Here is a 12206-nt window from a genome sequence, read left to right as displayed (position 1 = left end):
TTTAGATTCAGGGAGTATATCTGCAGGTTTATTACATGGATATATTGTGTGATGCTGAGCAATGTGGGATATTATTGATCCCATCACCAAGGTAGTGAGCATATGTTGTGGGGTATAATTGATCCCATCACCTATGCAGTAAGCATAGCACCTATGGTTTTTCACCTCCTGCCCTCCTCCTTCCCTCATTCATCTGGTAGTTCTCAGTGTCTATTGTTGTCATCTTTATATTCATGAGTACCCCATGTTTAGATCCTACTTATAGGCAAGAACATATGGTATTTGGTTTTCTGTTCCTGTATTAATTTCCTTATGATAATGGCCTCCAGACATATGCATGTTACTGCACAGGACATAATTGTATTCTTTTTAACGTGTGCATAGTGTTTTATGGTGTATATGTGGCACATATTTCTATCCAATTTATTGATTCACACATAAGTTAATTCCATGCCTTCCCTATTGTGAATAGCAATATGACACATATACAAGTGCATGTCGGGTTTCTTTTTGTAGAATTCTTAATTTTCTTTTGGATATATACTCAGTAATGGAATTGCTGGTTGAATGGCACTTCTGTTTTAAATTCTTTGAAAAATCTCCAAAGTGCTTTTCACAGTGGCTGAACTAATTTACATTCTCACCAACAGTGTATAAGCATTTCATTTTCTCTGAAGTCTAACCAGAATTTGTCATGTTTTTACTTTTTAATAGTAGCCATTCTGACTAATATGAGATGGTATCTCACATTGACTTGCATTTCTCTGATGATTAGTGATGTTGGACATTAGGAAAACAACCCCATTAAAACATTGACAAGGGACATAAGCAGACACTTCTCAAAAGAAGACGAGCCAGGTACAGTGGCTCATGCCTGTAATCCCAGCACTTTGGGAGGCCAGGATGGGGGGATCACAGGGTCAGGAGATCGAGACCATCCTGGCTAACACGGTGAAACCCTGTCTCTACAAAAAATACAAAAAATTAGCCGGGCGTGGTGGTGGGCGCCTGTAGTCCCAGCTACTAGGGAGGCTGAGGCAGGAGAATGGCGTCAACCCGGGAGGCAGAGCTTGCAGTGAGCCAAGATCGCACCACTGCACTCCAGCCTGGGCGACAGAGCGAGACTCCGTCTCAAAAAAAAAAAAAAAAAAGATACAGAAGTGGGATTCTTATTCTATCACATTAAGCTGCCTTTCCTTTGCAAATACAAAATCAAACCATTGGAAAAATCACTTTAATTGTAGAGATTGACAGTATCTTTCCCCTTCCCTATCTCCTTTCCTCTTTTGTGATTTTTTTTTCTGATCACTATGAATCCACTCCACAGAGTAACCTCCTTTCTTAATCTGTGTGAATTGTGGTGATGAGCTAGTCAGCTCTCTTAAAACCACTAACAAAAAAGTTTTAAATTTCCTAGTTAGTAATACATTTTTAGCACGCCACAAGATACTCTTAGAACAAGGACTTCTGGTCCAGGCATTATGGATTATGATGATTAGTTCTCTGGATTTCTATAAGCTTTGAAATTATGAGGTAAAAATCTAAAATAAGTGGGACTTGATGCTATTTATACATTTATTGGGTTTGTTAATTATTCCATAGGAAAACAGATGAAAGACTTTTGTAGAATTCAATTCTGCTTCACTATACTTAGGGTTACAAGAAGGCAATTATATTGATGTAATTGACAGACTGAATTAACCTCAGTCATCACATGTGATTTTTCTAGAGTTTTTTTTAATGGTGCTGACATTCTCTTCAATATGTCCATGCTTAGCTTGGGTTTCTGGGGGACAGATGAGTAGCTAGTACTACCCATCTAAAACATAATGTTCATTAGTTGGAATAATGTTGTGATATGATAGTCTTCAAGATGATGCCCTCAATTTCTTTCCTCCCTGCATGCACATGCTGCTGTTTACATTGACAGGTAGAGTCGAATCTCCCATTTCTTGAATCTGTGTTGGTCACAATGACTTGCTTTTCCAATAGGATGGAGCAGAAGTTGTATTCTAGGACCTCCAAGGCTAGGTCCTAAGAAGCTTTGTAGTATTTGCCTGTGTGTCTTGGGACAAACTACCACGTTGTGAGCACTCCAGGTAACATGGAGAGGTCAGATAGGCATCACACTCAGCAGCCAATATGCACTGCCAGCCATGTAAGTGACCCGTCTAGACTCTTTAGCCTAATTGAGCTTTCAGGTGACTTCAGCAGCAGCCAACCAACTGCAACTGCAAGAAAGACTCCAAAAGACAACTTATGTAGTGCCCATCAACCCACAAAACCATGAGAAATAACGTTATTAAAATTACTAAACAAATAATAACAATAAACAATATTAAACAATAAATAATTCCTTAAGTTTTGGAATGGCTTACTATTCAGCAAGAGATGGCTAGAACAAGTACTAAATATTGCACAATACTGAATAAGTATAAGTTTATTTGTATAATATACTTCTATATTTCAAAGCCATTGACATTTCTGGAAAGAGTGCGAAAGTGAGCACTGATTAAATGGTTCCCAAGAGAAGTTGTCTGTTGTGTCTCAATAGCATCATTTACCAATGGGAGCTGTATTTTGTTTTTGGAAAATATACATTTTAATGTTCATTTTAAAAAATATACTAACCATTGTTTAGAAAGGCATATGCTATTTTGAAAAAAATTTGAGCGAACCAGAGAAGTGTAAACTTTAAGGCTCTAATCATATTTATATGCTATTTAACCCATAAGTCCAAAGTCTGATGACAAATATGTTTATGTAATACTGATATTTGGATAAATAAGTTAAACTAACTGCTTTCTTTTTAAATGATAGGCTTATAATTGGCATGATGTTGAGATGGCTGCAGTGGATGGGCTCATCACCAGAATAAAATTTTCTCTTTAATACTTTTTTAGAACATTAAGTGAGAACCAGAGAGTCTAAAACTGGGTTACACAGCAGCAATAAAATCAGAGTGACACTTACTTTGCAGCAGCAGGACTGGAATTCTTGCTGTTGGGGTTGGTGGCAGCAAACTCAATTATGGGTGTCTCCAGCTTCATGCTTAGATGATGTGTTGGAACATTTCCTGTTTAGAACTCTCTAACACTTCCTGACTAGAGCTGTTTAAAATAGAAACAAACTCCTATGATTTTGAATTTAGCCTATTTATTGTTACGATTTGTTCATATGTTTCTACTTTTTAGACTGTGGCTTTCTTGTAGACAGAAATTATATCTTATACCTCTTTTTCTTCAGCAGCAGTGTGCCTGGCACCTAGTTGAATTGTCAGGTTCGTTGAATGAGTAAAGCAAAATTATACTAGATTTAAATTATTAACTTTATCAATTTTACTCAGAAAATATATAGCTAAGTATGACATATGAATCAATTTACTCACTTATTCAACAAACTTTTTTAAGTGACTACAATATGTTATGAGCTAGGAATATGACAGTAAACAAATCTCGCCTTGTCTCAAACTTCAGTGGATCCAGGAGTCTCTAGAAGTTTAATTCTTGCTCAATCAGCAATTCCGTTTCACTGAAGACTTGACAAGAAGGTTTGAGAAGGCAAGAGTGTGTGAACTCAACAGATGTTTGTGATGCACCTACCTACTGTGTGCCAGAAGCTGTAGTGTCACAGGCTCTGCCTGTGTCTCCTAGGAAAGGTGTAAACTAAGGACAATATTTTACACAACAAATAATGGCAAGTATGTCATGTGATGGAGAGGGAAAGTGCTGGCTCCCAAGAGTATAACAGGCACTGAGCCTAGCGTGGGGTCCAGGCGTCTCTGGCATGGTGCCCTCCTAGGTCCTGATTGTCCCTCCTTGTTGCTTCTGCTGTCTTCTTCAGTTACATCTGCTTCTCTGCATTTCCTCATTTTACAGTATGTGGGATGCAGTCATCTCTGAACAGCAGTAGGCAACTGTGCACCTGTTACACCATGCTTGATGCTCTGCATTGACGTACACTGGGCCCAGGTTTCCCTGGTGGACTGCTTGGGCCGTTCTTGTCATCTGGCTCTGAAGTCTTTGCTCACAGAGGTGCACTTGCCAGATGGGTAAGCCAGAGATCTGGGGTCCTCTGATGAGGCCACTCTCACCCTGCTTATATTCCCTGACATACATAACAGATGAAGCTCAGGTGGGCGATGCACCTCAGGCCACAGTGTGGACTGTTGTAACCAAGCGAGTTATAGAGGAACGCCACACTTTGAGACAAATTAAGGAGTCCTTTATTAGCCGGCAACCGAGAGGCATGTAATGCTCAAAATTCTCTTAGCCCCGAGGAAGGGGTTGGTTTTGTTTTTATACCGTGGTCTAAATAGGGGAAGGGGGAGTTTAGCTGAAACAAGTTTTACAGAAGCAGAGCTGGCAAATAGTTAAAAAATTAATTGGTTACAATAGCAGTTACAAAACAAATAAACAGTTCCAGGTGCAGGGGCTTAAACTATCACAAAGAGAGAAATGCAGGGGTTTTGCATGACATTCACCGATTGCGTACCCAGGAGCAGCTGGTGCAGCTTGCCTCAATATCTTATCAGTAAGTGCATTCCTGGACCTGCTTTGAGTCAGTTTACACTAGTTATGCAATTAAGGGTGGGAGGTAAAGGGGGCTGCACGTGAAGAAACTAAAATGGAGTCTGTCCGGCTCTCTCTCCGCTAGGAGAGAGTCACTCAGGTTAAAACAAGGTAGGGTATCACAGGACCATGTACAATTCTTCAAACTCCAGCTTCAACTCTCTTTCTTATTGCTCTCTTAGGACAGTATATTTAGATCAGAGTAAATGAAAGTAATGTTATTAGGAGATAAGATTAAAATTGATCCCATTTGTAAAAAGGGAAGTAGATTATTTGTGAACTGTAATACTTTTTTTTTAGTGAAGAATCACCTTAAAACTTGGAACCTGGATACAAGATAATTCCTTCATTCTGTAAAAGTTTAGTAGCAAACTATATGCCAGGACTGTGCTAGGTACTAGGGATAGATGGTTGAATATATAGTATAAGATGCCTTGGAGTGTCAGATAGTTTCATATAAATGGCTCATGCAGTATATAGACAGTGTGGTAAAAAGAGACTACTGAGATGCACAGAGGACAGACAATAAAGCGTCTTCGAATAGTAGATAAATGTGTTTGGACTTTTCACTCAGGGCTGTTGAAGTTTTTGAAGGTCAGTGGTCTCAGAGTTTTGGTGATTTCAAGCCCTGCTAAGCACTTTCTTTCTAGCTGATGATTGGCCACCATTACTGATCATCTATTGGCTCTGTCTGATTCAGCAATCCCACCACTGAGTATTTATGCAAAGGAAAAGAAATCAATGTATCAGAAAGATAACTGTACTTGTGTATTTGTTGCAACACTATTCACAGTAGCACAGACATAAAATGAAACTAAATACCCATCAACAAATGATTGGAGAAAGAAAATGTAGAAAATATACACAATGAAATACTATTCAGGCATAAGAAACAATAGAATCATAACTTTTGCAGACACATGGATGGAACTGGAGGCCATGGTTGTAAGTGAAGCAAGCCAGACACAGAGTAAACATCGTATTTTATCACTCATAAGCGGGTGCTAAAAGATGTGTAGATATTGATGTAGAGAGTGGAATGATAATGGAGACTCAGCAGGGTGAGGGGATGGAAGGGGTGAACAGTGAGAAATTACTTAATGGGTACAGTGTGCATTATTCTGGTGATGGATACCTAAAAGCCCTGACTTCACCACTATGCCATCCATGCTTACAGCAAAATTACACTTGGAACCCATAAATTTATACACAAAAAGTCTTAGACCTCTCTCTCTTCTCTCATAAGACTCAGAGCTCAGTGATCCCCTTGGATCCCCTCAGGCTGCTGAGTTTCGATTTCCCTACCTAAGGTGATTTTGGGCAGAGACAAGGGAGTGTTTCTGGAAGATGTTCTCAGGCACACGCTTCTAAAGAAACATTGGAGACTCTTCTAGTGGCCTTTATCTAGTCACTGCTTTAAGCAAGGAATAAAACATCTGTGGCTAAAATTTGTAAAACTGTGTTTCCCACCCACCCTTCAGACCTGACAGAAGATATTTTAGGATTTTAAGGGAACAGCTTTTTCCTGACTTAAAAGGGCACAGTAGTGCAAAGGCCAATGTCACGTAAGTACCTTTTCCCCATCTGTAAAATAACTTTCAGATGCTATTCCCACAGCTGGAATCAGTAGTGTTTTGACTGAGGTATTGGAAAAGCCTATGAGCTCATTATCATTTGAACATATGAGTAATGTAAAATTTAGGCAGAATTTTATTTGAAAGGATTATTTATGCAATTTTTTATTAACTGATTTATATTGCGGTTATTTCAAACAATAAAAATCAGGTCGTTGTGTTGTAAGCTAGAAATATTTACAATAACACATGGTCTTGATTATCTCACATGATGCAGACTAAAGCAAAATAATTTATCTTAGGGAGTTCTGTGACAGTTTCTCTTTCACTTTGCTTTAATAATGACTTCAAACTGTTGTACATATATAGAGAACTCCTGACTAAAGAGAATATTTTGTCTATTGTGCTATGTTTCTGTAACTTTTTAAGATCTAGAGGAACATATATTTAGTCTCAGTTGGCCAACTAAATGTTATGGAGTCAGCTTCTGTGTTATGTGCTGAGCATTGAAGGAATGATGGAGACAAGTCTGCTGCCCTCACAGAGTCTGCGGAGAAAACCTGATGGAGTGTGGCAGGGAACATGCTGGGAGCATCCCAGGATGCCAAAAACGCACACAGATGGAACACCTGCCTTAGAACAGGGGTGGGTCAGACAAGGGGAGGTGTCAGGAAAAACAAGGAAAGTTTAAAATGCAGGAATAGAAAAGCACTTGAGAAATCCATGGGGAATGAAAAGAGAATGGCTGAGCAGCAGCAGATTGTCAAAAAGGAAATCAAGAAGGATCAGCCAAAGAGGTTGATGGAGAACCAGGAGAAAGAAGGTTGACACTGAAGCCAAGGGAAGGAAAGTGTTTCAGCATTTCTGGGAAAAAATGACATGCTCTGTCTTAACCTTGCTGTTTTATGAGTCATATAGCCACATTCCAGGTTCTGAGAAGTCCAGCACTAAAGATGTTTCTTTTAGTTTGCTTAACCCAGCATTTGCCAGAATAATCTGGGCTTAGTGTGAGTGTGTGTGCGTGTGTGTGCCTGTGTGTTCTACTAATACCTCACTGAGGCTAGTGCTGTATACAACATAATTTTTAAAACACTGGTTTTATCCATCTTTTTGTTCAGCTGCAGCAACACTTACAAAGGGCAACTTTGATCATGTGTCTTCGTTACTAAAAGAAACAAAACAAACTAATGAATAAAGCCCACCTGGCAGTGACTCCTCACTACCTGTATGATGGAGCCCACCTGGCTTGGCCTGGGTGCCCTGTGCTGACGAGGCCGTGCTGTCTTCTGCCTGCTGCTTTGCCTCCCCTTTCCTCCTGGAGAAGGTAGAGATGTTCTGAGCTTTGGCTCGTCTGGAACATGTGTCCTTCCCCTCATTTGGCCCATGTTTTCCTGAGTCCACTTTAATCTCGTTTAAGGGTATAGAACTTTCCTTAAAGCTTTTGGTCAGGTCTCACTCTCTATGCTGTCTTCCTGCCACTTCTACAATGTACATACTTTACTGATACATTAATTATGCTATACTAGCCCAGGTTTTTACTTCTATATCATTTTATATCATCATCTTTTTTTCTTAGAGCTTAGTTCACTTATTTATTCAGTCTTTCCACAATATAATTGTATGTCATATAATTTCATATTGATTTTCATTGGTGTTTATATATCTTTTCTGCAAAAATGGAGGCTTTCTAAATAGATCTTCATTAACGTTGAAAGAACAAGGTTTTAAGTCTTGGTCTCAGCCAAAAGGAGTTCCCCGCATTACCAGGAGGGAAAGAAACACTTGAATTGTTGCATTAGATATTCTTACAGAGAAAGAGAACCACGTGTAATGGAAAATTGCTAACTTGGCCTCAGGGAGTCCAGGTTGATTCACTGAGAAAGTTTGAATTGGTTTAGAAAGCATAGTTCTGAGTTTTCTAGAAGAACAAAATTTAGAGTCGGGCATAAGAAGTAATGCCCATATCAAAAAATTAGAAATATCTCAAATTAACAACCTAACATCACAACTGAAAGAATTAGAGAAGCAAGGAGAACTCAACCACAAAGCTTGTAGAAGACAAGAAATAACTAAAATCAGAGCTGAATTGAAAGAAATTGAGACATGAAAAACTGTTCAAAAGATCACTTAATCAAGGTTTTTTGAAAAAATTACTAAGATAGGGCACTAGCTAGATTAATAAAGAAGATGAGAGAAGATTCAAATAAAGAAAATTAGAAATGATGAAGGGAATGTTACCACTGACCCCAGAGAAATAAAAATAACAACCAGTAACTACTACGAGCACCTCTATACACACAAACTAGAAACCCTAGAAGAGATTAATAAATTCCTGGACACATATACTCTCTCAAGACTGAACCAGGAAGAAATTCAGTCTCTGAGCAGACCAATTATGAGCTCCAAAAATTGAATCCGTAATAAATAGCCTACCAACCCCCCAAAAAGCCAGGACCTGATAGATTAACAAATTTTAACAGATGTACAAAGAAGAGCCAGTACCAGTCCTACTGAAACTATTTCAAGAAATAGAGGAGGAGGGACTCTTCCCCAACTTGTTCTATGAGGCCAGAATCATCCTGATACCAAAGCCTGGCAGTGACAAAACAAAAAAAGAAAACTTCAGGCCAGTATCCTTGATGAACATCCATTCAATAATCCACAACAAAATACTTGCATACTGAATCTAGCAACACATCAAAAGGCTAATTCACCATAGTGAAATAAGCTTCTTCCCTGGAATGGAAGGGTGGTCCATCATGGGCAAATCAATAAAATGTGATTCATAACATAAATAAAACTAAAGATAAGAACCACGTGATTGTCTCAACAGATGCAGAAAAGACTTTCAGTAAAATTCAACAAAGCTTCATTTAAAAATTCTCAATAAACGAGGTATCAAAGGAACATACCTCAAAATAATAAAGGCCACCTATGACAAACTCACAGCCAACATTATACTAAATGGGCAAAATCTGGAAGCATCCTCCTTGAAACCCGCACAAGACAAGGATGCCCTCTCTCACCACTCCTATTCAACATAGTATTAGAAGTCCTTTCTGGAGCAATCAGACAAGAGAAAGAAATAAAGCATATTTAAATAGAAAGAGAAGTCCAACTACCTCTGTTTAAAGACAACATAATTCTGTATCTAAACCCTATAGTTGTGACCCAAAATTCCTTAAGCTGATAAACAACTTCCACAAAGTTTCAGGACACAAAATCAATGTACGAAATTTGCTAGCATTCCTATACACCAAGAAGAGCCAAACTAAAAGCCAAATCAGAGAGGCAATTTTATTCACAATTTCCACGAAAAGAATAAAGTACATAAGAATACAGCTAACCAGGGAGGTGAAAAATCTCTACAATGAAAATTACAAAACACTGCCCAAAGAAGTCAGAGAAGACACAAATAAATGAAAAATCATTCCATGTTAATGGAGAGAAAGAATTAATATCATTTAAATGGTTGTACTGTCCAAAGCTATTCCTATTAAACTACCAATGACATGCTTCACAGAAGTAGAAAAAAGCTGTTTAAAAATTCATATAGAACCAAGAAAGAACCTAAGTAGCCAAGGCAATCCTAAGCAAAAAGAACAAAGCTTGAGGCATCACATTACCCAACTTCAAACTAACCTGCAGCACCACAGTAACCAAAACAGCATGGTACTAGTACAAAAACAGACACATACACCAGTGGAACAGAATAGAGAGGTTAGAAGTAAGACCACATACCTACAACTATGTAAACTTTGACAAAGCTGGCAAAAACAATCAATGGGGAAAAGATTCCCTATTCAATAAATGGTGCTGGGATAACTGGCTAGCCATATGCAGAAGATTGAAGTTGGACTTCTTCCTTATACCATATACAAAAATCAACTCAAGATGGATTAAATACTTAAATGTAAAACCCAAAACTATAAAAGCTCTGGAAGACAACCTAGACAATACCATCCTGGACATAGAAAGAGGCAAAGATTTCATGATAAAGACACCAAAAACAATAAACACAACTATTGACAAGTGGGATCTAATTAAACTTAAAAGCTTCTGCTCAGCAAAAGAAATTATCAAGAGAGTGAACAGACAACATATAGAATGAGGAAAAAATATTTACAAACTATGTATCTGACAAAGATCTAATATTCAATATAAGGAACTTAAATTTATAAGAGAAAAACAAAAAACCCTATTAAAAAGTGGCCAAAGCCCTGACTTCTGAATAGCACTTCTGGACCCAGCCAGGGACTGAGGGATCTCACTGCCCTAAAGGAAAGAACACAGGCCTGTCTGGCTTTGCCACCTGCTAATTGTAGAGACCAAAGGCCTTGAGTGAACATAGGGAGTCGTCAGAAAGTGCATGCAGCAGGACTTGAGCAAGACCTGTGCTGTGATAGCTTCAGGTCTGATCCAGGGCAGTCATAGTAGTGGTGGCCAGAGGTGCTTGTGTCTTTCTTCTCCCAGGTTTAGGTGGCTTAGAACAGAGAGAAAGACTCTGTATCTTTGAGGGAAAATAAGGGTAGGGAAAGAGTCTGTGGCTAGTAATCCAGAAAATTCTCCTGGATATTGTTGAAGGCTGTCAAGGTGGTACTTCTCTGAGTCTGGAAGAATTACAGCATTATTGGGTATAAGGTGCTCCATAAAGCAGATATGGCTTAGATCACAACACCCAACTCTTTTCATATATGTGAAAAGCCTTCCCAAGAAAGACAGCTACAAATAATCCCAGACAGTGAAGACTACAATAAATACTCACCTTTTCTCTCTTTAAATTTTATTTTTTAAACTTCTCATATGGTGTTGCATGCCCAAGATTTTAATGTCCAGACACTGAAGAACATCTACTAGCGTCAACACAATCCAGGAAAACATGACCTCACCAAGTGAACTAAATAAGGCACTGGGGACAAATCCTGGAGAAAAAGAGATATGTGATGTTTCAGACAGAGAATTCAAAATGGCTGTATTAAAAAAAAAACTGAAAGAAATTTAAGATAACAAAGTAAGGAGATTCCAAATTTTATCAGCTAAACTCAACAAAGAGATTGAAATAGTTACAGTAAATTAAGCAGAAATTCTGAGCTGAAAAATGCAATTGGCATGCTGAAGAATGCATTACAGCCATGTAATAGCAGAATGGATCAAGCAGAAGAAATAGTGAGCTTGAAGACAGGCTCTTTGAAAATACATAGAAGAGACAAAAGAAAAAGAATAAAAACAACAAATCATGCGGACAGGATCTAGAAAATAGCCTCACAAAGACAGATCTAAGAGTTATTTGTTTTAAAGATGATGTAGAGAAAGAGGCAGGGGAGGATCTAGAAAATAGCCTCACAAAGACAGATCTAAGAGTTATTGGTTTTAAAGAAGATGTAGAGAAAGAGGCAGTGGTAGAAAAATTTATTCAAAGGGATAATAACAGAGAACTTTCCAAACCTAGAGAAAGACATCCATATCCAACTACAAAAATGTTATAGAACATTAAGCAGATTTAACCCAAAAAAGACTACTTCAAAGCATTCAATAGTCTTCCAAAGGTCAAAGATAAAAGTTCTTAAGGAAGAAAGAGAAAAGAAACAAATAACCTACTGGGGAGCTCCAACACGTCTGGCAGCAGACTTTACAGTGGAAACTCTACTGGCCAGGAGAGAGAAGCAATAAATATTTAAAGTACTAAAGAAAAGAAACTTTTACCTTAGAATAGAATATACAGTGAAAATGTTCTTCAAAAAAAAAGAATACTGACTTTTTCAGACAAACAAAAGCTGAAGTATTTTATGAATACCATACCTGTCCTAAAGGAATGCTAAAGGGAGTACTTCAATCAGGAAGAAAAGGACATTAATGAGTAATAAATGATCACCTAAAGGTAAAAAAAATCCTCACTGCTAATAGGATACAAAACAAAACAGAATATTATAACACTATAGCTGTGTGGTGTGCAAACTACTCTTATTTAAAGTAGGAATACTAAATAATATCTAATCAAAAGTAATAGCTACAACAACATTTCAAGACATAGCACAATAAAATATAAATAGAAACAACAAAA

General features: G+C 38.0%; 1 long non-coding RNA gene across 2 annotated transcripts in view; it reads right to left on the bottom strand.

The window, feature by feature from the left end:
• Nucleotides 1-4202: 4202 nt before the first annotated feature.
• Nucleotides 4203-12206, bottom strand: part of LOC124902162 (uncharacterized) — a 9370-nt gene continuing 1366 nt past the window's right edge. Inside the window, exons 1-3 of one of the 2 annotated variants that reach the window (XR_007061511.1) lie at nt 11849-12032; nt 10911-11067; nt 4203-5282 (exon numbers count right to left, since the gene is read on the bottom strand). This is a non-coding gene — a long non-coding RNA (uncharacterized LOC124902162). Of the gene's footprint in view, nt 5283-10910; nt 11068-11848; nt 12033-12206 lie in introns of those variants that run through there. The other variant, XR_007061512.1, reaches the window with a different exon arrangement.

This window comes from Homo sapiens, chromosome 9 (assembly GCF_000001405.40).
Source record: "Homo sapiens chromosome 9, GRCh38.p14 Primary Assembly".
NCBI lineage: Eukaryota > Metazoa > Chordata > Mammalia > Primates > Hominidae > Homo > Homo sapiens.
The sequence above is the reverse complement of the archived record's forward strand: the minus strand, read 5'-3'. Positions and strand labels throughout refer to the sequence as shown.